This window comes from Homo sapiens, chromosome 15 (genome assembly GCF_000001405.40).
Source record: "Homo sapiens chromosome 15, GRCh38.p14 Primary Assembly".
NCBI classification, from domain to species: domain Eukaryota; kingdom Metazoa; phylum Chordata; class Mammalia; order Primates; family Hominidae; genus Homo; species Homo sapiens.
This window is the reverse complement of record NC_000015.10, coordinates 23,303,543-23,324,446: the sequence shown is the minus strand read 5'-3', so window position 1 is coordinate 23,324,446 and position 20,904 is coordinate 23,303,543. Positions and strand designations below refer to the sequence as shown.

General features: G+C 48.4%; 1 non-coding gene and 1 pseudogene across 29 annotated transcripts, besides 1 other annotated feature; both read right to left on the bottom strand.

Annotated features, from left to right (window-relative positions):
* Window positions 1–2,086: 2,086 nt before the first annotated feature.
* Window positions 2,087–3,239, bottom strand: LOC100996611 (WAS/WASL-interacting protein family member 3-like; annotated as a pseudogene).
* Window positions 3,240–9,880: 6,641 nt separating this feature from the next.
* LOC102723564 (E3 ubiquitin-protein ligase HERC2-like) lies at window positions 9,881–20,692 on the bottom strand. Of its 29 annotated transcripts, none has more exons than XR_007064518.1 (9): window positions 20,629–20,692; window positions 19,917–20,019; window positions 14,990–15,307; window positions 14,712–14,840; window positions 14,150–14,295; window positions 13,473–13,644; window positions 12,935–13,109; window positions 12,718–12,842; window positions 9,881–11,342 (listed from the first exon to the last, which is right to left on the bottom strand). It is a non-coding gene; the product is annotated as an E3 ubiquitin-protein ligase HERC2-like (transcript). The 29 variants fall into 29 exon arrangements; XR_007064515.1 differs by having other exon boundaries at window positions 12,935–13,087; XR_007064525.1 differs by having other exon boundaries at window positions 13,473–13,610.
* Window positions 20,531–20,750: a silencer, noted in NCBI's record as "silent region_6262". NCBI's record gives its function as "represses an Ori minimal core promoter by ATAC-STARR-seq in GM12878 lymphoblastoid cells {active_cell/tissue: GM12878}" and the evidence as "EXISTENCE:reporter gene assay evidence [ECO:0000049][PMID:35858748]".

Below are 20,904 nucleotides of genomic sequence, written 5' to 3'. Positions count from 1 at the left end.
GCACGGGAGCAGCTGGGCTCACCCATTAAGCAAGAAGCCAATAGCTGGACAGTGACACTCAGACCCCAGCCTGGGCGAGCCTGGCTGAAAGCCCCCTTCTTTCCATCCGACTGTGGAGAAAGGGGGCGGAGCACACACAACTCTACTGCCCTCCACATCCTTCACCTGTGCTTCCTCCTGGGAGAGGGAGCCGCTCCTTAATTTGGCCAAAGCCTTCTTGAGGGCTGTAGGTTTCACAGGCTGGGTGTGTGGGGGCCACCGTGCTAGAGACAGAGGCTGGTGTGTCAGAAGGCAGCCACCTGGCCAGAGGGGGGTCAACCCCCTTGGTGACCTCCTTCCCCCGGCTGGACACAGTGCCCTGCACTCTCTACATGTGACTGTTCCCCTCAGAGCTGCTTCCAGGGGAGGGGTTCTAATCCTGTGGGTGGGGACATTGTGTTACTTTACAGTGGGCCATGGCTCCCTCTGACATCTCCAACTCAGAGGCAGTAGAGAGAAGATGAGAAATTCCCTGCCCCTCCTCCCTCAGCACCCCCACCTCTGCACACGTCCACATGTGGAGACCCTGACAATGGGCCCTGGGAGTGCCGCCATCTGTGCCTGCTTTCCATGCCTGCAGCAGCCATGCCCACTCTCCAGACCCTCACCCGCCTGGGTCAGTAGACGCTTCACTGCCTGTGGTCCTGCGCCTACACCTGGGCCTCTGTACCCGTCAGTTCCCCCAGTCTGGTTCTTATTCCCTGCAAAGAGTAGGGAGCCTGTAAGGTCACCTGTTGAGCAAGCTGGGGGAGAAAAGTAGGGTGGGGATGGGAGGATCAGGATGAGAAGCTCATGGTCGTGCTGGAGACTCAGCTGAGCAGAGTCTCTGCAGGCCCATTGGCTGCCTAGCCAGTGGTGATCTCGCTCCCACCCTCATTTCTTCTTTGTTAACAAAACCATGACCTCATTAAATACTGGACACCTATAAACCTCATGGACCCTCCTCCAGCCTCCCCACCGTGTACCGGTGAGTCTAAGTCAACTCTAGTCATTTCATTCCTCTGGACATTGACTGCTTAGGGCTTGGGCATGAGCTGCCTCTTCACCTGAGCCTGAGCCACAGGTACCCTCTGCACCTACCACGCTGATGCACTGGGCCAGGGAGAGCGCCGTCTGGATGGAGATGAGCTGTGAGGAGCTGGTGGCTGGGCGGATCAGGTTGTTGTAACAGGTTTTGTTCAGAAGGTCGTCCATCAGTTTCTGCTCGGCATGGGCCATGCGGCAGTCCCCTGGGTAAACACACAGACATGCTGGGCCCTTGTGCAGCTGTCTCCCACTGCAGCTGACAGCTATGAAGCAGGAGCTGAGAGGGCCAGGGAGCACAGACACCCTGAGAGCTGGCTGAAGCAGTGAAGGTGCTGGCCGGCCTGGCTTTCCCTGGGGACTTCAAATGACATTCACGACAGAGCTCAGCTACCTCCTCCCCATGCCATACCTCTTCCTCCTCCTCCTCCCTCCGTCAATGAACAGCATCCCACGCTCTACACATCTGATACAAAACTGGGTGTCTCTTCCTGACTCCTCCCTTGGTTCACCCAAGTGGCCACCAAGTCCTGTCTGTCCTCCCATCTCCACGGCTACAGCCATGTCCCTGCCTCCCCCGCCCTGCCCACCTTCTGTTCTCTCCACCTGCACTCTGCCCCTGCCATCCATGTGCCATACAGTGGCAGACTGATCTTTCTACAGCAAACTGGACTAGGGCCCTTCCCTACCCACAGCTCTCAGAGCTGGAGGTGGAGTTGAAGCTCATGTTTTGGCTTGGCATTCAGAGCTCTTTCCCCCTCAGCACTGGCTTATCCAGAGTGCTCACAGTGCAGGGCAGGAGCCTCGTGACTCAAATGTGGGTTTGGTGCAGAACTGGGTCTGAGGTGGTGCTTTCCCTGTGAAGAGACAGGGCCGACATGGGGGAATTTTCTGGGTTCAAAGTTAGACCTAGAGAGTGCAAAGTTTCTCTGAGGCACCAAATGGAGGGGTCCAGCTATCAGCTGGCTCCTGGTCTGGAGCTTCAAGGAGAGGTCTCAGCTCAGAGCCACATTCAATAGCCAGCTTACATGTGGCCTCCTGAAGGGAGCCCCTGGAGCTTCCACAGCCTCCGTTCTGCCCCTCTGCATACCCCAGATCTCCTGCTAAGTGGCGTTTGGGTCTTCATGTCATCTCCCTCCCATGTCTGGGAGTAAAGGTGAGGTGCAGGGACTTGCGCTTGTGTACTCTGGTGTCTTAAGGGAGACTGTGTCAAGTAGAGTGGAGGCGGCTTGGAAAGAGGGAGACTCAGAGGAGAGTGAAGGACACATGACCAGGCGAGCCTGGGAGCAGGAAAAGAGAGTGAGCAGAGGCAACTGCTGGGTCAGGGGAGCGGATGGGAGGATCAGGGAATGCGGGGGGGCTGGAGAGGTAGGGGTGGGGACGTTGGCGAGGGGCTGCCTGGCTCGCCAGGCTCAGGAGTCAGTTACATCCTCCCACAAGGGCCAGCTCACCTGGTCGCCCCAAAGACCTCCCTCTGTGGGTGGGACCAGAGGGCCAAGAGCACGGATAACCCAATTGAGCAGGACTGAGGCGGACTCAGGTGGGTGCTGGGCCGGACTCCTGGCTGTGGGGAGCAGCCGCCACCCTGCCTATTGCATCCACTTTCCAACTCGCTGCCTATCTGAGCAGATGCGATATTGGGCACCTTGTGAAACATGCTCCTGGTGCACCTGCTGCCTGCTGCCCCTCCTGCAGAGTGCCCGGGCTCTCCAGAGGGGATTCCTATGGAGGCTTGGCCTAGATTCTGAGTCCTGCCTCTCATACCTGGGGCTGCTACCCCAGAGGCCAGCTGCTTGAGTACCCCGGAAGCCAGTCTGTAGCCCCAGGCTACAGCTGGGTCCATCCCACAGCCCTTCTCTAATGTACCTATTTGGACTGGCTGCTCATTTCATAGAGAGGGGTGTGTCTTGCCCCAGACCATCTGGCATGTCTAAGGCAGCTGTGGGGTCAGAATCTGCAGCTCCCAGCCCTCAGCCCAGCAATAGTAGGAAAGGCTGGACCCCACATCTCTGAAGTCCCACTGGGTTGGTGCGAGCGGGCTCCCGAGTACAGGGCTGCTCTGCAGGCTGTGGGGCTCATGCGCCAGCTCTGAGCCCACCTGATGTGCTCACGTTGCTCACCTTTGGGCCTGTCCGGCCTCTCAGGCATTCGGCTGACCCTGAGGGCCTCTCCCTCATCTTGACCACCAGCTACGGGCTCTGATTTAGAGGTTCCCAGAACCTTAGACCATTTGGCCGGCCCCCCATTTCTCACCTGAGGAAACTGAGACCAGAGAGGGATAGCAACTTTCTCAAGGACCCCCAGCAATTCAGAGGCAGAACCAGGTCTAGGAGCCTCTTCTCGATAGAGGTTCCCCCTGTCCCCTGAGCCTTCGTTAGTGCCTCATTAACTTCCCTGTAAGGAAACTGCCCCGCTGAGGCTGGAAATGGTGCTGTCCAGAGTGGTGTGTGCCAGTGACTGTGCTTGTGTTTGTACTTGTGAGTGTGTATGGGGGTGGGGATGAGGGGTGGGAATAAACGGCAGGGATGCTGGGGGCTGGATGCACTCCACCTCACCCCAAAAAGGGGCGCAGGAGAGCCCAGCCAAGCACAGCACATGCTTCGACTTTCCAATCTGCTGAATGCCTGTGAGGCCGGCTGGGCCCAGAAGACAAGGGACAGGCCTTTCCCCATAGATGGCAGGGGGGGCCCAGGATGGGTGGAAGCTTCTGCCGCAGCTTTGGGGGTCACAACCCAGCCCATGGGCTGACACTTAAGCAGAAAAGCCACCTCTAGGGGTCAGTCATAATCTAGTGATTCTGATGAGGAGGGCCCCACCAACCTCTGTCCAGGGTCTTGTCTGGGAAAAACTGCTCCCTGGCAGAAAGAGGCTAATAATTTGAGAGGAAGCCATAGCTGAAACCCTAAGCTGTGTGAGTGCGTGTCCAGTTTGAGAAAGCATATCCGACTTAAACATTTGTATTGAAAAAATGGAAACATATTCCCCTTGTTTTGGAATACAAACTGCAGAAAGCAGCAGTTAACAGAATCTTATCGGAAAGGTCAGATTCTGCATCTGGAAAGGCACAGTGATTTTCAACTGCGGTGTGTGTCCTTAACTGAGGAAGGGAAGGTGAGATTTATGTTTAGTAAAAGGCAGCTATGAATTTACCTTTTATAAAGAGCTTGCTATATACTATTAGTGCTTTTCAGTCATGTCAGAATCAGCCAGATGCCTGTGGAAATGCAAATTCCCAGGCTTCATTCCCAGAGATTCTGGTCCTGTGAGCCTAGGGTGGGGCCCAGAAATCTCTATGGGGTGGTGCAGCCTGCCCCAGGACCACACCAAGAAACACTGCAACTGGCCCACACACATCCCAGTCCACAAATATGTAGGCAGGCATCTTATCTCCACGGAACAGATAGGGAAACTGAGGTCAGAGTGGGGAAAGAAACGTCATGGGGCCACCCAGCAAGTAGTAGCAGAGCCACGATACACCCACTGCCTGCAGACACCATCTCTGATGACAGCTCCACCTCCCCACAGGAATCTTGCCTACCCCCACCCCTACCTCCTGCTGCCCCTATGGTGGGTCTCTGTCCAAGGAAGATGTATCCTAGGTCCTCTAGGCTGACTGCGGCTCAGAGGAAACCTTGGCCCAGAGTGTAGGAGCTAGAGGGGTCCTTGGAATTCACGTGGGGAATTTGAGGCCCAAAGAAGGCAGTCCTCACATTTGAACTCTGTCTGGAGAAGGGCTAGGTCTTCTTCCTGAGTGGTAGTTTTGACTTCACCAGCCTGGCCCTCAGTCAAGCTGGCTGTCCAGGCCCGCCACACCTCGGGGTGGGTGACCAGAGGCGGTGGTGCCATAAAAACACGTTTCCTGGGAGATCCACCCCCAAAGCTCCAAACATTCCAGGGCTGGTGATTTGGGCAAGCCCCCTTCCCTCTCAGCCCAGTTTCCCCATCTCTGCAACAGCCGTGCTGGTGGAGACTTCTGATACTGAGCTGCAGATTTTCTCCTGGGTGCCTACACAGCCCAGGTTGCCGGCTCCTCTGTGCCCACTCTTCAAGAAAGTCAGCTCTTAGGTAAGGAAGGTGCCTTGGCCCTATCAGGAGCAGGAGCCGGTGCACCCCCAGCTTCCCAGGCCAGTGGGGATGACCCAGGCTGCCTACAAAGCTGCTGCCCAGCCCAGAGACACCCGCCTGGGAGGGTGGCCCTGGCCCTTGCAGCGGCTCTGAGAAGAGTCGGCCCCCACTCCAAAACTGGCAGAGCCACCCATGCCTTCCCTCAGCCCAAAGAGGCTTTTAGGAACATGAATCGTCTCAAGTTCAAACCCATGGGGTTGCTGAAAGACAAGACAGTGCAGGGTGAGCTGGTGCGAGGGAGCGCTGCTCGGTGCAGACTTTGCAGGGAGGGCACTTAGGAAAAAGGACTGGAGTCTGGGAGGGTTAACTAGCTTAGGGTTAAAGGGAGGGGATGGAGCTGGAGTGAGCTGGCCTCGTCCTCCCCCTTGGGCCTTCCAGCCTGGGCTCAGGTGATTCAAGGGAGCAAGCACCTCCCTCTCCCAGCCAGGGAGTTCTCGCCACATTCTGCAATCAGTACCATTCCCCTGGGGGCTGGGTGACAGCCCCCACCTCTGGACCTGGCTGGAACTGCTGTCTCAATTCTAGATCCAAAAGAATCTCTGGCAGCTTCTCCATCTCCCTCTCAGTCCAGCCTCACCTCTTCGCCCGTGGAGGAGCTCCAACAGCAAATCTGGCAACTGGAGGAACAAGGCAGGAAGGGCAGGGTCTGAGGAAGGAACCACCTTCAAAAGGCAGCTCTGCCACCTTCTCTCCAGGACTCTCAGGCTTGCTTTCCTATTGCTCCCTCGACATCCTTTTGCTATAATCTGGCATGTTGACGTATAGTCTTTAAAAGCAACAATGCTGTTGACGTGGAGCAGACTTCCCATTTGGGATGGTTTGGAGAAGTTAGGTTTGAGGGCATCCTCTCTTCTGCAAACTGCAGCAGTAATAGATGAGATATACAAAGTAAATAAAGGCTGGGTGCGGTGGTCGTGCCTGTAATCCCAGCACTCTGGGAGGCTGAGGCAGGAGGATCACTTGAAGCCAGGAGTTCGAGACCAGCCTGGCCAATATGGCGACACCCTGTCTCTACTAAAAATGTAAAAATTAGCTGGGCATAGTGGTGCACACCTGTAGTCCCAGCTACTCAGGAGGCTGAGGCAGGAGAATCACTTGAACCCGGGAGGCAGAGGCTGCAGTGAAATGAGATCCCGCCACTGCATTCCAGCCTGGGCGACAGAGTGAGACTCCATCTCAAAAAATAAAAATAAAAAATAAAGTAAATAAAAAAGACATGCCCAGGCTGAAAAATAAGTTAATTATCTCCATGAACGAAAAGCAGACAAGAAATGCAAAGTGGTTGGAGGCTGAAGAGCCTGGACCCTCCTGGGCTTTGGGAACCAAAGATGGTGGCAAGTCCTTTGGGATAAAGAGGGACAAAATGACTCCTAGCTAGAAGCTGGGAGCTTGGGTGTACCCCAGTACTTGAAAGGATGCTAGCTGGGCGCGGTGGCTAATGCCTGTAATACCAGCACTTTGGGAGGCCGAGGGAAAGTAACTCTTATGTCAGTGTGAAGCAAATCAGACAGGACAGGGGAACATGGAGGGGAGGAGAGCCAAACCAGGGCCTGGTTCCAGACCCACCACACCCGCCCCGTTGAGCCAGGAGCACAGGTGGCTCTCTGCACAACATCAAGAGCGAGGACATGCTTTCAGCTCCACTTTAACTCAGGTTCCTAATGTGACAGCAGGCTTGTCAATCCCACTTGCCCCCGTGTCTCACACCAGAAAACTACCAGCAGTGTGAGTAAGGACAGAAGCAGGAGACAGAGGAGCCAGGGTTGGGGAATCCCATAGCAACCCACAGGCCCTCATCACACACGGCAAGGATGCGCCTTCACTGGGCTCACCACCACCACTCGACATCACCTTCACTACATGATACCCTGCCTGGATAACACCACTGTAACACAAGAAACAGGTCTAGAATCTAGCATGTATGCTACACCTGAAGGAGCAAGAGACGGTAATACAATACAATGAAATTTTTAGTTTATTTAATATAAAATTTAGAGCCATAATCAAAATGTGTAATTCTGATGGGATTCACTACTTATAAAAACTTCGCAGCGCTCTATTTTCAAATGTAAATGGTATTCTGTGGCTCCTCGCCAGCATGTAAATAACGATCTACTCTGAAATACATTTCACGGCTTATTTTTGGCAAGCAGCGATTTCTCCAACCCACGTTTTCCAAGGGAAAAAAGGACATGAAATGTCTCCAAAAGTCTCTTACGATCTTTAGATAAACTACTGTTCAACAACTGCATCTGCCAAGTCAACACATCAAGAATCCTTCACTCACAAACACTTAAGGTGAGAAAACAGTGTCTACCCATGCAGGAGAGGGACACATGATCCATGCTGATGAAGACAGCCTGGATATCGGCTACTGGAAAGCTGCGAATGCATTTTTCTTTTTCTACTTTCCAAAAGTTTTGTGAGGTGATACTTATTTCTATGTTTGTGTCTATTCTTTTTATTTTGTATTTTTTAGTAGGTACATCCTTACTATAAATCTGCTGTAGAACCAATGTCCCATACAGGACCCCACGTGCCACAGGAACCAAAAAGTCACACGCAGCGAAGACGAAGACACAGGAGACAACCTGTGTGGACAGCACAGAGCCACCTGCCCAGGACACCAATGGAGCCACAGGTGCAATTCAAAATGTTCTTAGTCGTATTAATAAACATGGCCAGGTGCGGTGGCTCACGCCTGTAATCCCAACACTTTGGGAGGCTGAGGTGGGCAGATTACCTGAGGTTGGGAGTTCAAGACCATCCTGGCCAACATGGTGAAACCCCATCTCTACTAAAAATACAAAAATCAGCCAGGTATGGTGGCATGCTTCTGTTAGTCCCAGCCACTCAGGAGGTTGAGGCAGGAGAATCATTTGAACCCAGGAGGCAGAGGCTGCAGTGAGCTGAGATCGTGCTACTGCACTCCAGTCCAGGCAACAGAGTGAGGATCCATCTCCGGGTGGGGAAAAAAAATTGTTCTTAGTCACATTAACAAAAGTAAAAAAAAAAAAAAAAAAAAACACCAAGAAGAAAAACAACAACACATAAAATTAATTGTAATAATGGCTGGTTGCAGTGGCTCATGCCTGTAATCCCAGCACTCTGGGAAGCCAAAGCGGGCAGATTACTTGAGGTCAGGAGTCCGAGACCAGCCTGGCCAACATGGTGAAACTCTGTCTCTACAAAAATACAAAAATCAGCCAGGCGTGGTGGTAGTGCCAGCTGCTCGGGAGTCTGTAGTCCTGTAGTCCCAGCTGCTCAGGAGGCTGAGGCAGGAGAATCACTTGAACACAAGAGGCGGAGGTTGCAGTGAGCCAAGATTGCACCACTGCACTCCAGTCTGGTCAACAGAGTAAGATTCCATCTTAAAAAATAAAAATAATTTTAATAATGTATCATAGTTATTCCAACAGATCAAAAATATGACCATTTCAACATGAAATCAATCTAAGAAAAATTATTGAGATATTTTACATAGGTTATTTCATATTAAGTCCTCAAAAACCATCTGAGTAGCTTACATATGTAACACATTTCAATTTGGACCGTGAAATTTGCATTGAAAACATCTGATCTCCATTTAGACTCATAAAATACACAGTTGACAAAGTAGACTCCCAAGGCCAAGTGATTCTAAACATACTTAAGTGCTTTCTAATAACGGAATCAAATTTTCAAACCTGCATTTTAATGAATAAAAATTAAACAGATAAAATATTCAGTGTCTCAGCTATGACGGACAGACTTCAAGTGCTGATCAGCAAACGGTGTTGAGTGTAGCCAGATGGGCCAGCGCAGGCTACACAGCTGCAGCTCAAACAGCACAGCTGCAGGTCAAACAGGCCAGTCTCTCTGCGCACGGGAACAGTCTGGGCAAGCAGGAGACGGGGAAAACGGGCACTGCCCTCGTGAGAACAAAGGACCCACAACAGGAACCCTGCACTCACCCCCTGCCAAAGACCAACAGCCCCACGAAGCAGCCACTTCAGAAAAGGGAGAGGCATTCAAGAACTTAGAAAAGCACCTCTGGAAAATGCTCACTTTAAAACTTTGCATGTAACTGTACATTTTAATTACAAGGTTTTTAACATCCATTTTCTCATGTATTCTTAATTAACTCTGTGAAAGTAAACACAGCTTTTATTCTTACTCCCATAGTTACTGTGTTGGAAGTCCACCTATATGAACAAACTGTTGTAACTGAAATTTTCTGAGAACAAATCCCAAGCTCTTTCCATCGACACAAACTATATTGTTTAGTTCTCTTTATTTCCATTTGTTAAAGACCAGAATGTGTGAAATATGCATTATCAGATTAGAAAAACAAAACAAACATCAGAAAAAGGTTTTGCAAAATAGCATTTACTAAAATCTATGACAGAAACTAGCTCTAAAACTTCCTGTTTCAAAATTTCACTGTGTGTGCACTAAGTTAGTTTTTCTGGCTGTGGACAGCAGGCCCACCCCATGCCGCGGGCCCACCCCATGCCGCAGGCCCACCCCACGCCGCGGGCCCACCCCACGCCACAGGCCCACCCCACGCCACAGACCCACCATGGCCCCATGAACAGGCCAGCTGAGAGCTGCAGCCACTGCCCAGGGCTCCCTGGTCTGTACTCGGCTGCCTGACCCAAGCTGCCAGGGCTCTGCTTTCTCTATGTGTAGAAACAAAAACCAGGAGCATCAGTTGACGAAAAGCAGATTTTTATTGAACAGAGGTATAAATGTGTTTCATTTTCTAATAAATCTCTTTCACAAATCACCTTGCTGTTTCGCTCTTCTTGAATGATCATTTTTAGACAACACTGTCTGACTGTTTTGGCTTCTGCCAAGGTTAGCGTCTGTTCACAGGCTGAGTCTGACTTCTTCCTCCCACCTCCTCCTAGTCTGGCCTTCCAAAATAATGCTCACCATTCTATCACATTGACTTCAGTTTTGAAAAGAAAAGTTATCTTACAAAGTAGTATGTATAACTCTGTAATATATAAAGTGAGGCAATGATAGAACCAGTTTTAAAAATAACCTTCCATGATGATTTTCATTTGCATCCACCTGCTTATTAGTAAGAATCTTTTTACATGTTTACTGCACGCCCCAATTTCTCTTCAGTGAAAAACTTTTGAGTATCATCACACCCTCCAACTTCTCCTCTCACCTATATTGAAAAGGGTCTGCTCTTTATCCTAACATCTATACTAGGTAATTTTCAGAATATTCCTTCAATCATCAAACAAATTTTTGAGATCCTTGCGCTAGATTTCACTATCTTAATATGAAAACCAATAATCACCTATTAAAATACAATACAGGCCAGGCACAGTGGCTAACACCTGTAATCCCAACATTTTGAGAGGCCAAGGCAGGTGGGTCACCTGACGTCAGGAATTTGAGACCAGCCTGACCAATATGGTAAAACCCCATCTCTACTAAAAATACAAAAATCAGCCAGGTGTGGTTGCAGACGCCTGTAGTCCCAGCTACTCGGGAGGCTGAGGCAGGAGAATAGCTTGAACCCAGGAGGCGGGGGTTGCAGTGAGCCAAGATCGTGACACTGCACTCCAGCCTGGACGATAGAGCAAGACTCCATCTCAAAAAAAAAAAAAACAAAAAAAAAACACCATTAATAAGTAAATAAATAGGCCAGGCGTGGTGGCTAATGCCTGTAATCCCAACATTTTGGGAGGCCAAAGTGGATGGACCACCTGAGGTCGGGAGTTCAAGACCGGCCTGACCAACATGAAGAAACCCTGTCTCTAACAAAACTACAAAATTAGTGGGGCATGGTGGCGCATGCCTGTAATCCCAGCTGCTCGAGAGGCTGAGGCAGAGGAATTACTTGAACCTGGGAGGCGGAGGTTGCAGTGAGTCAAGATCGCACCACTGCACTCCGGCCTGGGCAACAAGAGCGAAACTCTGTCTCAAAAAACAAAAAAGTAAATAAATAAAACACAATACAATACAGCTAATATGATTTACCTAAGAAGCTGTTGTATGAGCTGAACCAGAGGCAAACACTGTTTGCCAGAAGACTCACAGATCCCCGTATTAATAAGGCCTTTATCCAATGGAGTCCTCCTTCTATGAAATGTTGAGGCATTTGCTTCCTGTTCATAAATTTCTTTTTCCTTCCGTGCTTCTTTTTTTGTATCCTGTAATTGATAAACAGAAATTGTTTACAAGTGATCTCATTACCAGGTGTGAAGGCACACAGGCTGGCTGAGCCCTGACCCCAGTGCCAAGCTATCCCAGCCTCTGTGGCTGCCACACCCATCCACCCACAGGCCCCCACCTGCCCTGTTGGAAACCCCAACTCATTTGTGCAGTTTCAAACAGTGTCTTCTTTTTACAGATCCAAGGTCTAGGCTGCCTCTGCTGATGCTCTCCAGCCTCCTTCTGTGAAGTCCCTAAAATCCTTAACCCTGCTAATGGCTCACACAAAACCCAATGTGATCGGCTCCACACACGCAGCATCCAGCTGCTCTGTAAGGACAAGAAGGAGCTAGAATTCTCACACACAAAAGTCCTGGTTCAAATGCAAATGGCAAAGCCACTTTGGGAAACTATGAACACACACTAACCCCAGGACCTAACAAATTCCACTCCAAGTGTTTATCCAAAGGGAGAACATATGTTCACTGAAGTACTTGTTCACAGCACAATTGTGGCAGCTCTACACGGCCAAAAACCAGAAAGCCTGGGCGCGGTGGCTCACGCTTGTAATCCCAACACTTTGGGAGGCCAAGGTGGGGGGATCACTGGAGCCCAGGAGTTGAAGACCAGCCTTGCAACACAGTGAAACCTTGTCTCTACAAAAAAATCAAAAAACTAGCCGGACATGGTGACATGTATGTGGTCCCTGCAACACAGGAGGCTGAGGTGGGAGGATCATTTGAGCCTAGGAGTACAAGGCTGCAGTGAGCCAACATCAGGTCACTGTATACAGCCTGGGTGACAGAGCAAGACCCTGTCTCAAAAAAAAAAAAAAAAAAAAAAAAAGAAAACAAAAACCAAAAACAATTACATGTCCTTCAATAGGAAAATGAACTAACAAACAGTACTACACCTATAAAATGGAAAACTTCCCAATAATAAAAACGAAGTCGCAATACACACAACAGTGAGCGAATCTGAAAATCATTCTCCAAGGCAAAGCAGGAAAGAGTGCATACTATACAGTTATATTGCTGCGACACTCAGAGCAGGAAAAATGAATCTAATCTCAGGGCAGGGGAGTATCCTGGCTGCAAGTGCCAAGGAGCACAGGGATCTTTCCGGGTGACGGGAATGGTCTACATGAGGAACAGGTTACCTGTTAACTTCACTGAAACAGACAACATGCAGTATTTTATCACAATTAAATCATCTCAGTAATTTTTAAAATTAGCACAAAAAAGAATTTTAATTTAAAAAAATACTTGGATATAAGTTTAGTGTTTTACTGTTTTCAGTTATTCTTCACATGTGTGAGTGTGGTATTTCCGATCTCAGCCCACCACCAGGTCACGTGTGCCTCCAAGGCCATACCTGGATCTCTGCAGTAATGGCTGCGTGTAAGGCTGACTCCAACCCTCCAGCAGCCATCAAGCTGCCCACCAGAAGATCAATCACCAATCGATGACCTGGACTTATGCTCACTTCATTGCCTGAAACTGAAATAGAAAGTGTGTGCCAATTTGAGTGAAACGCCATCCCCTCCCAGCACCCTGACCCATGGCCTCTCCTGTTCCTTCCCCGAGCCCACCTCCGCAGGGCAGGAGAGCAGAGTGCCCGGGCCTGCTTCTCAGCGGTGGGCAACAGCATGGACCAGCCGCTCTGCAGCATGGCCTGGGAGGCCGACTGCTCGGTGCTCAGCACGTCTGCGCTGCTTGCCAGGGTCACCACCGTCTGCTTCAGGCTGTTCAGGAAGACGTCCACACCTATTAAGGGGGGGGCTGGTACTAAACACAGTGACAGCTCAGGTGACATGCCCTGCACAGAGCCCAGTACAAAGGAAGGGCCAACAAAGCAAGCCACTATTTTCGTTGTTCTTTTCTGGTATTGATTTAAAAGTGCATGTTTCAAGCTTGGTTCTGTGCTGACAAGGAAGTCGGCGCGCACTGATCTGAGTCTTCTCCACAAACAAGTGGCCTCCCACACCTGTCTCATCTGACTCGCTGCTGTTACCACCAAACACACAGACACCAGAGAAAAACACTGCCATGCACAAGCACGCTGGTCTTGCGTAAAAAATAACTAGACTCGAGTGCCACCTAAACACAAAGTTCCATCATGACACTCACGTGCATGTCGCCCTCGGAGTGGGGTGCATCCTTCCTGCAAATGATGCTCTGGAACCTTTGCAGCAAGGGCAAAAGCGGGGCGCTGGTGCCCTGGGCGGAACGCTCATTGTCAGTCTCCTGTGCCCCGCTGTCCCACAGCTGAAGCAACAACAGGATGGCAGACAACATTTGGCTAAAGAAGAAAACATATTTATTCCTAGTAAAAACAGATTAACTTTTTTTTTTTTCATGGTTGATCAAAAATAAAAGCAAACAGCTAGATAGAAGTGAAGAAATACTTGGGATATGAAAGGAAACGAAAGTAAAGCCGTGGTAGTTAAATCACTGAATTGACACTGAGATTTTAGCACAAGACATCGCCTTCTGCTGATAGGAAAGACCAGTTAAGAAGCTCAAAGAGCACATTTACATGAAGATCTAGGGTCTTAAATTCATGGAATAAAAATAATTAAATGAGGAAAACTGAAAGAAAAAAAAAGAAGAACAGTTCCCAGGCTAGAAAACTGAGCATAAAACAGGAAGTGAAGAAAAGGAAAAGAGAGAGCCCTGGGACATGGTTCTCTGTAGAGCACCACACCTGCTGCAGTCACACGATTCAGTGAAACGCACACAATGCAACAGGTATTTGGATACAGAGGCGCTTCCCCAAAGCATTCCCGGTCTGCACCAGCCCTCACCTCAGCATGCCTCTCTGCACAGCCAGCTCCAGCAGGATGGCCAGGGCCAAGTGCTGGTCCTGTAGGGGGATGATTCTGGCCCTTTAGTGCCTGGTATTCCGTGAACATCCCTGAAATGAAAACAGTGGATGCAGGAACGAAGCGACCTCCAGAAAGACAGCATGCTTACAATCACAGTAACACATTTGCTACATGCTCCCTCCCAAGGAAGGATGTATCTTTAATATTTAGAATCAAGCTTCTGAGACTTGCTACTCAAATTTATTCACAGATTTTTAAAGTATACAATTAATTTACAGAAATGTATTTTATTTAAAGTATTCATTCAGATACTATATTACAGTAGATGACATACTCCAAGTGTGTGAAGCATAAAATAATTTATCTCATTATCCAAAACATGAGTAGGAGAATATCTAGCTATCTTTTCCAGTTTCAATGACGTGTAAGACTATACCAGTATCAACCTTCTCCCACAGAATTAGAGAACCAATTTCTAAAACCACTTGAGGATCTGGAGGCAAAATGTCTACACTAATTTCTATCTCTGATCAAAGATTACCTGGTTGCTTACTCCATACCCAGCTCTCCAGAATTGACTTGGCCCCATATACAGGTGCAGGAGTTTCATCTTTTTTCTCTCTGTCATCCAGATCTTCTTTCTTTGTTCCACTTGGTTCAACACTATCATCTGCAGAATTAAAATTTTTTTAATCTGTAACCGCTTTTCAGAATGCCATACCATCTGTCAGTCTCTGCAAATGTCCCTCCCCGAAAAGTTACAACACACATCATTAACTGAACGTTTGACAACTTAAAAATAAAATACATCAATCGTACCTGTAACAGATCCAGTATAATTTTCATAAAGCAATATATCGGCCGGGAGTGGTGGCTTACGCCTGTAATCCCAAGCACTCTAAGAGGCCGAGGTGGGTGGATCACGAGGTCAGAAGATGGAGACCATCTTGGCTAACATGGTAAAACCCCGTCTCTACTAAAAATACAAAAATTCACCAGGTATGATGGTGGACGTCTATAGTTCCAGCTACTCAGGAGGCTGAGGCAGGACAATGGCATGAACCCAGGAGGCAGAGCTTGCAGTGAGCCAAGATGGCACCACTGCACTCCAGCCTGGGCAACAGAGCAAGACTCCATCTGAAAAAAAAAAAAGAAAAGAAAAGAAAACAAACCAATATATCAAATTATTTAAAGCATGTCTTCCAAAATGATATTTCATTAGCTTCCTAGTAGATTTCACAACAGAGAAACTTAGTCTTTGATATTTACCTACTTCAGTTTCACACCAATTGCTTTTATCCAGTGAGTCCCAATGCATGTGCACCCATGGGAAAAGGGAGGGTGTAGAACAGGAGTATGATTCAAAAATCTTTTAACTCTTTACAAGGCCCTACTCCACTGCCAACTGGGAAGCAGTGCTATGCAGGGGCACTGTGACTGATAGCATAATTCAAGAGCACTGGGACACAAAGGAAAAGCTGAGAAAAATGACTTTAGGCCACTGACAATGTCAAGTTTCAGTCAAAAACAACTGTCATAAAACTCCTTACACAGTAAGCGAAGAGAAGAGAGAACCTTAACCTTGAAGTGTAAACACACTCCATCACAGAAGGCTGTGACTAAATGTCTAAACAACATAATTAGAAAAATGTATCTCAATCGGTGAAAGACATGATATCCCATCCAGATTACAAATAATGAGTATCTAAAAATCTCTAAGGAAACAGTTCCTCTGTTTACAACACTTCTGACATCAAACGTATGGACTTTTGCACCAAGCAGTTCTCCAGTTCTTTGTGACACCCAGCTATGTGTCCCACAATGCAATTCGATTCTGAAACTAACTACCTAGAATTAGCACAGACCCCACAGGTTAATAACAGGAGAGAAAAGGTGAATGCTGAAAAAAATATCCAAAGAACTAATGGCTGAAAACTTCCTAGGTTCAGCAAATGACATAAACCCAGGCAGATTAAAGAATCTGTGCAAAGCCCACACAAGATAAATCCAAAAGAAGCCATGACAAGGCACATCATAATCAACTGCTAAACACTAAGGACAAAACCCTTCAAAAAGTGCCACAGAGTGTAGATATATAAGAATGTCTTGTGTGGCCTGAAATGAAGACTAAATATTATGTGCTGCCTTGACGTCGGTAAAATCAAGAAGGCCTCAAATAGCCTAACCACAAGGTCTCCTCCAAGCTCTGCTCCCACAGATCAGGTCCCAAAGCCAAACAGCCTCCTTATGGCGGAGAGCTGACTCCAGTCTGCTCATCCCTGCCGGCCCAGAGTTATTCAAACAAGCCAATCACATCTTCCCATGGAAGCAAGGTCATCTCACCCTCCTGTTACTACAAATTTTGCCTTCCACAGCCCCTCGTGGTTCACTCTGTTCCCAAGTGCAGCCCCCGTGTGGCATGCGGTGTCCCCCACCCCAGGGCTGTGAGCATGCATGACTAATAAACTGCTATTTCATCTGTCCAGTGTCGGTGTCCTACGTTCAGCCATCCCATATCCCTAGGGCAGGAATCTTCTAGGGTTATAAACAGAACTTTAATCAACCTCTCCTTGGTTATTTTACTGGTTCCATGATACAGCTTTTTCTGTGCAAAAGATCTGAACAGAAACTTCACAGAGGATACAAGAGTGGCAAAGAAGAACACGATACTCAGCATTCTTAGCCATTACGGAAGTGCAAATTAAAACCACAATGAGATCCCACTAGACTTGTTAGAATGGCTCAACTAAAAAACACTGATAACACCAAGTGCTAACAAAGACACAGAGCAACAGAAACGTGACAGATTGCCAGTGGGAATGCAAACTAAAACAGCCACTTCGGAAAACAGTTCAGCACATGACCCAACTTTCACACTACTAGGTCTTTATCCTAGGGAAATGGAAACTATATTCACACAAAATCTGTACAGAAATGCTCACAGCAGGATTACAATTGGGAAAGAAAAATGGAAACAACCACAAGGTCCTACAATAGCAGAATGGATAAACACCATGTGGTACATCCAAATGATGAAATACCATTCAGCAATAAAAAGAACTATTAATACACAGAACAACAACAAATCTCAAACATATAACTAGGAATAAATGAAGATGGTTTCAAAACGTTACTTAAAATATGGTTCCACTCACATGACATTCTCAAAAAGAATACCCTATACTGATGGAGAACAGATCAGTGGTTGCCAGGGTATGAGACCAGGGAACAGGTGATAAAAAGGAGCAGCACAAGGGAGCTTTTGGGGTGATGACACGTCTCCGTCCTGATGATGATGAGGGTTACATGAATCTATAGAGATCAAAATTTACTCAACTAGATACCACAATAAAATAAATTTCATATAAGTTTTTTAATAAAAAAAAATGTTGGCTGGGTGCTGTGGCTCACACCTGTAATCCCAGCACTTTGGGAGGCCGAGGCGAACAGATCGCAAGGTCAGGATTTCGAGACCAGCCTGGCCAACAAGGTGAAACCCCGTCTCTACTAAAAATGCAAAAATTAGCCAGGTTTGGTGGCACGTGCCTGTAATCCCAGCTACTTGGGAGCCTGAGGCAGGAGAATCGCTTAAACCTGGAAGGCGGAGGTTGAAGTGAGCCGAGATTACGCCACTGCACTCCAGCCTGGACCGCCAAGTGAAACGTCATCACAAAAAAACCAAAAACAAAAACACAAAAAAACAAAGAAAATATCTAGGTCCAGGTTAGGGAAGACAGCTGGAATACAGTCTGGTGGAATCATGTCAGAGCAGGGAGCTGGGTCTGGAGGGCTGGAGTAGGGTGTGGCCCCACTCTAGGAAGGAACTAGGAAACACATCCTGGGTAAAGCAACAGCAGAGTCTCGTTCTGCAACAGGTGAGCATTTATCCTGATCTGAGAAACTACATGCAAATTTAGTATGTCTCACTTAGCCTCTTATTTTCCTTAACAACATGGAAAATGAGAGAACAAACAATTCAGAAGGTTAAGACATGAAACACATTGAATTCAGAAATCATACACAGAAAGGTAGGAAATAAATGGGGGATAAAAGCAGCTAATGAAAAGTGAAAATGGGCCAAGTGCAGTGGCTCACACCTGCAATCCCAGCACGCTGGGAGGCCGAGGCGGGCGGATCACTTGAGGTCAGGAGTTTCAGACCAACTTGGCCAGCATGGTGAAACTCCAACTCTACTAAAAATACAAAAATTGGCCCGGCGTGGTGGCAGGCACCTGTAATCCCAACAGCTCGAGAGGCTGAGGCAGGAGAATTGCTTGAACCAGGGAGGCAGAGGTTGCAGTGAGCCAAGATCATGCCACTGTACTCCAGCCTGGGCAACAGAGCAAGACCCTGTCTCAGAAAATAAAACAAAATATTCATAGCCTTAATAATAGAAAATAAAAACATTTACTGAATGCCAGAAAATCTCCCTAAAAACCCCAATCAGTTGGGATCTACATAAAGAACAATTATGCTCTGCTTTCTAACCACGATTTTTAAAAGAACAAAGGACAAATATATTCATCAAATATGGGCCGGGCGGGGAGGCTCAAGCCTGTAATCCCAACACTTTGGGACGCTGTGGCGGGCGGATCGTGAGGTCAGGAGTTCAAGACCAGCCTGGCCAATATGATGAAACTCCATCTCTACCAAAAATACAAAAATTAGCTGGGCATGGTGAAGGGTGCTTGTAATCCTAGCTACTCAGGAGGCTAAGGCAGAGAACTGCTTGAACTAGGGAGGCAGAGAACTGCTTGAACCAGGGAGGCGGAGGTTGCAGTGAGCCAAGATCATGCCACTGCACTCCAGCCTGAGCGACAGAGCAAGACACCCTCTCGAGAGGAAAAAGAAGCAAACAACAAATTCATCAAAGGTAATAAATAAAACATATACTTTGGATTTTTCCATGTACTTAGCTTTTCTTAGAGCATCTTTTAGAATTATTGTTTCACAAAAAACACTTCGGGAAACGTTTTAATTTATTAACAAATACTGGAGGGCTAGAAAGAAGAGGTTAAAACTTTTTAAAATATACAGAATGAATCACAGATACGTGAAAGAAAAAAGAAAAAAAGGTTGCTGACTCCTGCCATGGAAGGCACTATCATATGGACACTCTTAGCCTCAGCATCCGGAGGTCCAGAAAGCGAAAATTTCAAGTCAGAGAGAATTCTATATATACCATTTATTTGGAACCTTCAGCCCTTAAGATCCCAACATCATGACTTCAGTTTCAACACAATTATCCTTAGACCTTGTACTGGCTACAAACACAAAACAAATAGCTCGACTGAACTAACTCACCTCTCCAGAAACACAAACACAAGACCTCATAAAGTCAGTGAGTTTCTACAGGCCATAATTACTGCAACTTACTTCTCCAATTTTCCCCTCCACAGTTAACTCAACAGCTCAAAAACGATCAGTAACAAACAACAGTCACCATGATATGGTTAGGAGTGTGGCAGATTTCTTAACCAGTAATAATAAATAGGAAAAAAATTTTGCCTACTAATAGATCTCAAGTTTCGTGCACTTACAAGAAACTAATTAAAAGGCAGCCGCGCACGATCTACAAAAACAGCCATAAAGACTGTTACATTTTAAGTTACAGGAAATAAACCTGCTCCTCTAATTCAGCAAGATACAACTGACTTCCCCTTACATACCCTAAAAAAAAGCTTTACACGAGAAATTTAAACATGGAAGCAGAAACACACCAAGAAAAAGACATGTCAAACCCCACCTGTATATCTGTTTTCAACCATTTGGAGTCGAGGCGAGCCCGGGCAGCCAAACACAAAGATTCAGAGGGCATCTTTTCTCCAGCTTCCTCCCAGGTCTCAGGCCTGCAAGTAAACACATACGTTGAAGACCTAACGCTTTTTAATAGTTTACAAAGACACTCCCGAAAGGTTCAATGCAGAAAGGAAAAAAGAGAGAGAGAACAGAAAGGGGGGAGAGAAGAGCTGGTGGAGGGGAGAGAAGGGGAGAGAGGGAAACAGGGAAGAGATGGAGGGAGAGGGAGGTGGGGAAGGGAAAGCCTCCTTCCAAGGTAGGCAGGGTGTGCCGAGTTTCTGCACCACGCTGACGAGACCTTGAGAATGGACGGTCACAGGAAGCCAAGTCACAATGTCATCCCCCTGCCCTCAAATCCAAGAAGTACACACATAACAGGGAGCCCATCGTTTTAACGACAAATGACAGCAGCATGAATCTGCCGCTTTACCCCACAGCAGGGCGCGTGCGTGAAACAAATTACTCAAAAGGATCGCCTGCAGAAAAACCCACAGCCACCACCACTTAAGAGATGGAGAGAGGCCCGAGGCTGCCCCGCGGGTGGTCCGCGCAGGCCCCGGTGCGGCCGCGCCCACGCCCGCCTCCCGGGCTCGGCCGCCCGCCAGCCCCACGCCCGTACCGCCCCCGCCACCGGCCGCCCAGGTGCCCCAGGCCAGGACCTGACGCGCAGGGCCGGGCCGCCTCGCCCCGCCGGCGTGCGGACGCAGCCTCCCAAGAGCCGCTGGCTCAGCCGGCGCCCGCGATCCCGGCGCCTCTCGCGGCCCGAGGGGCGGGCCGACGCGGGACTGCCGCCCCCCGCGTACGGCCAATCGCAACGAGGCTGCTCCGTGGGCGCAGCCAATGGGGAAGAGGAGCCCTTCGCCGCTCCTCCCGACTCTCCCGCTTCCAGCAATCCCGCTTATCTTCCTACTTGGAGCGCCCTGGCTGCGGCCAAG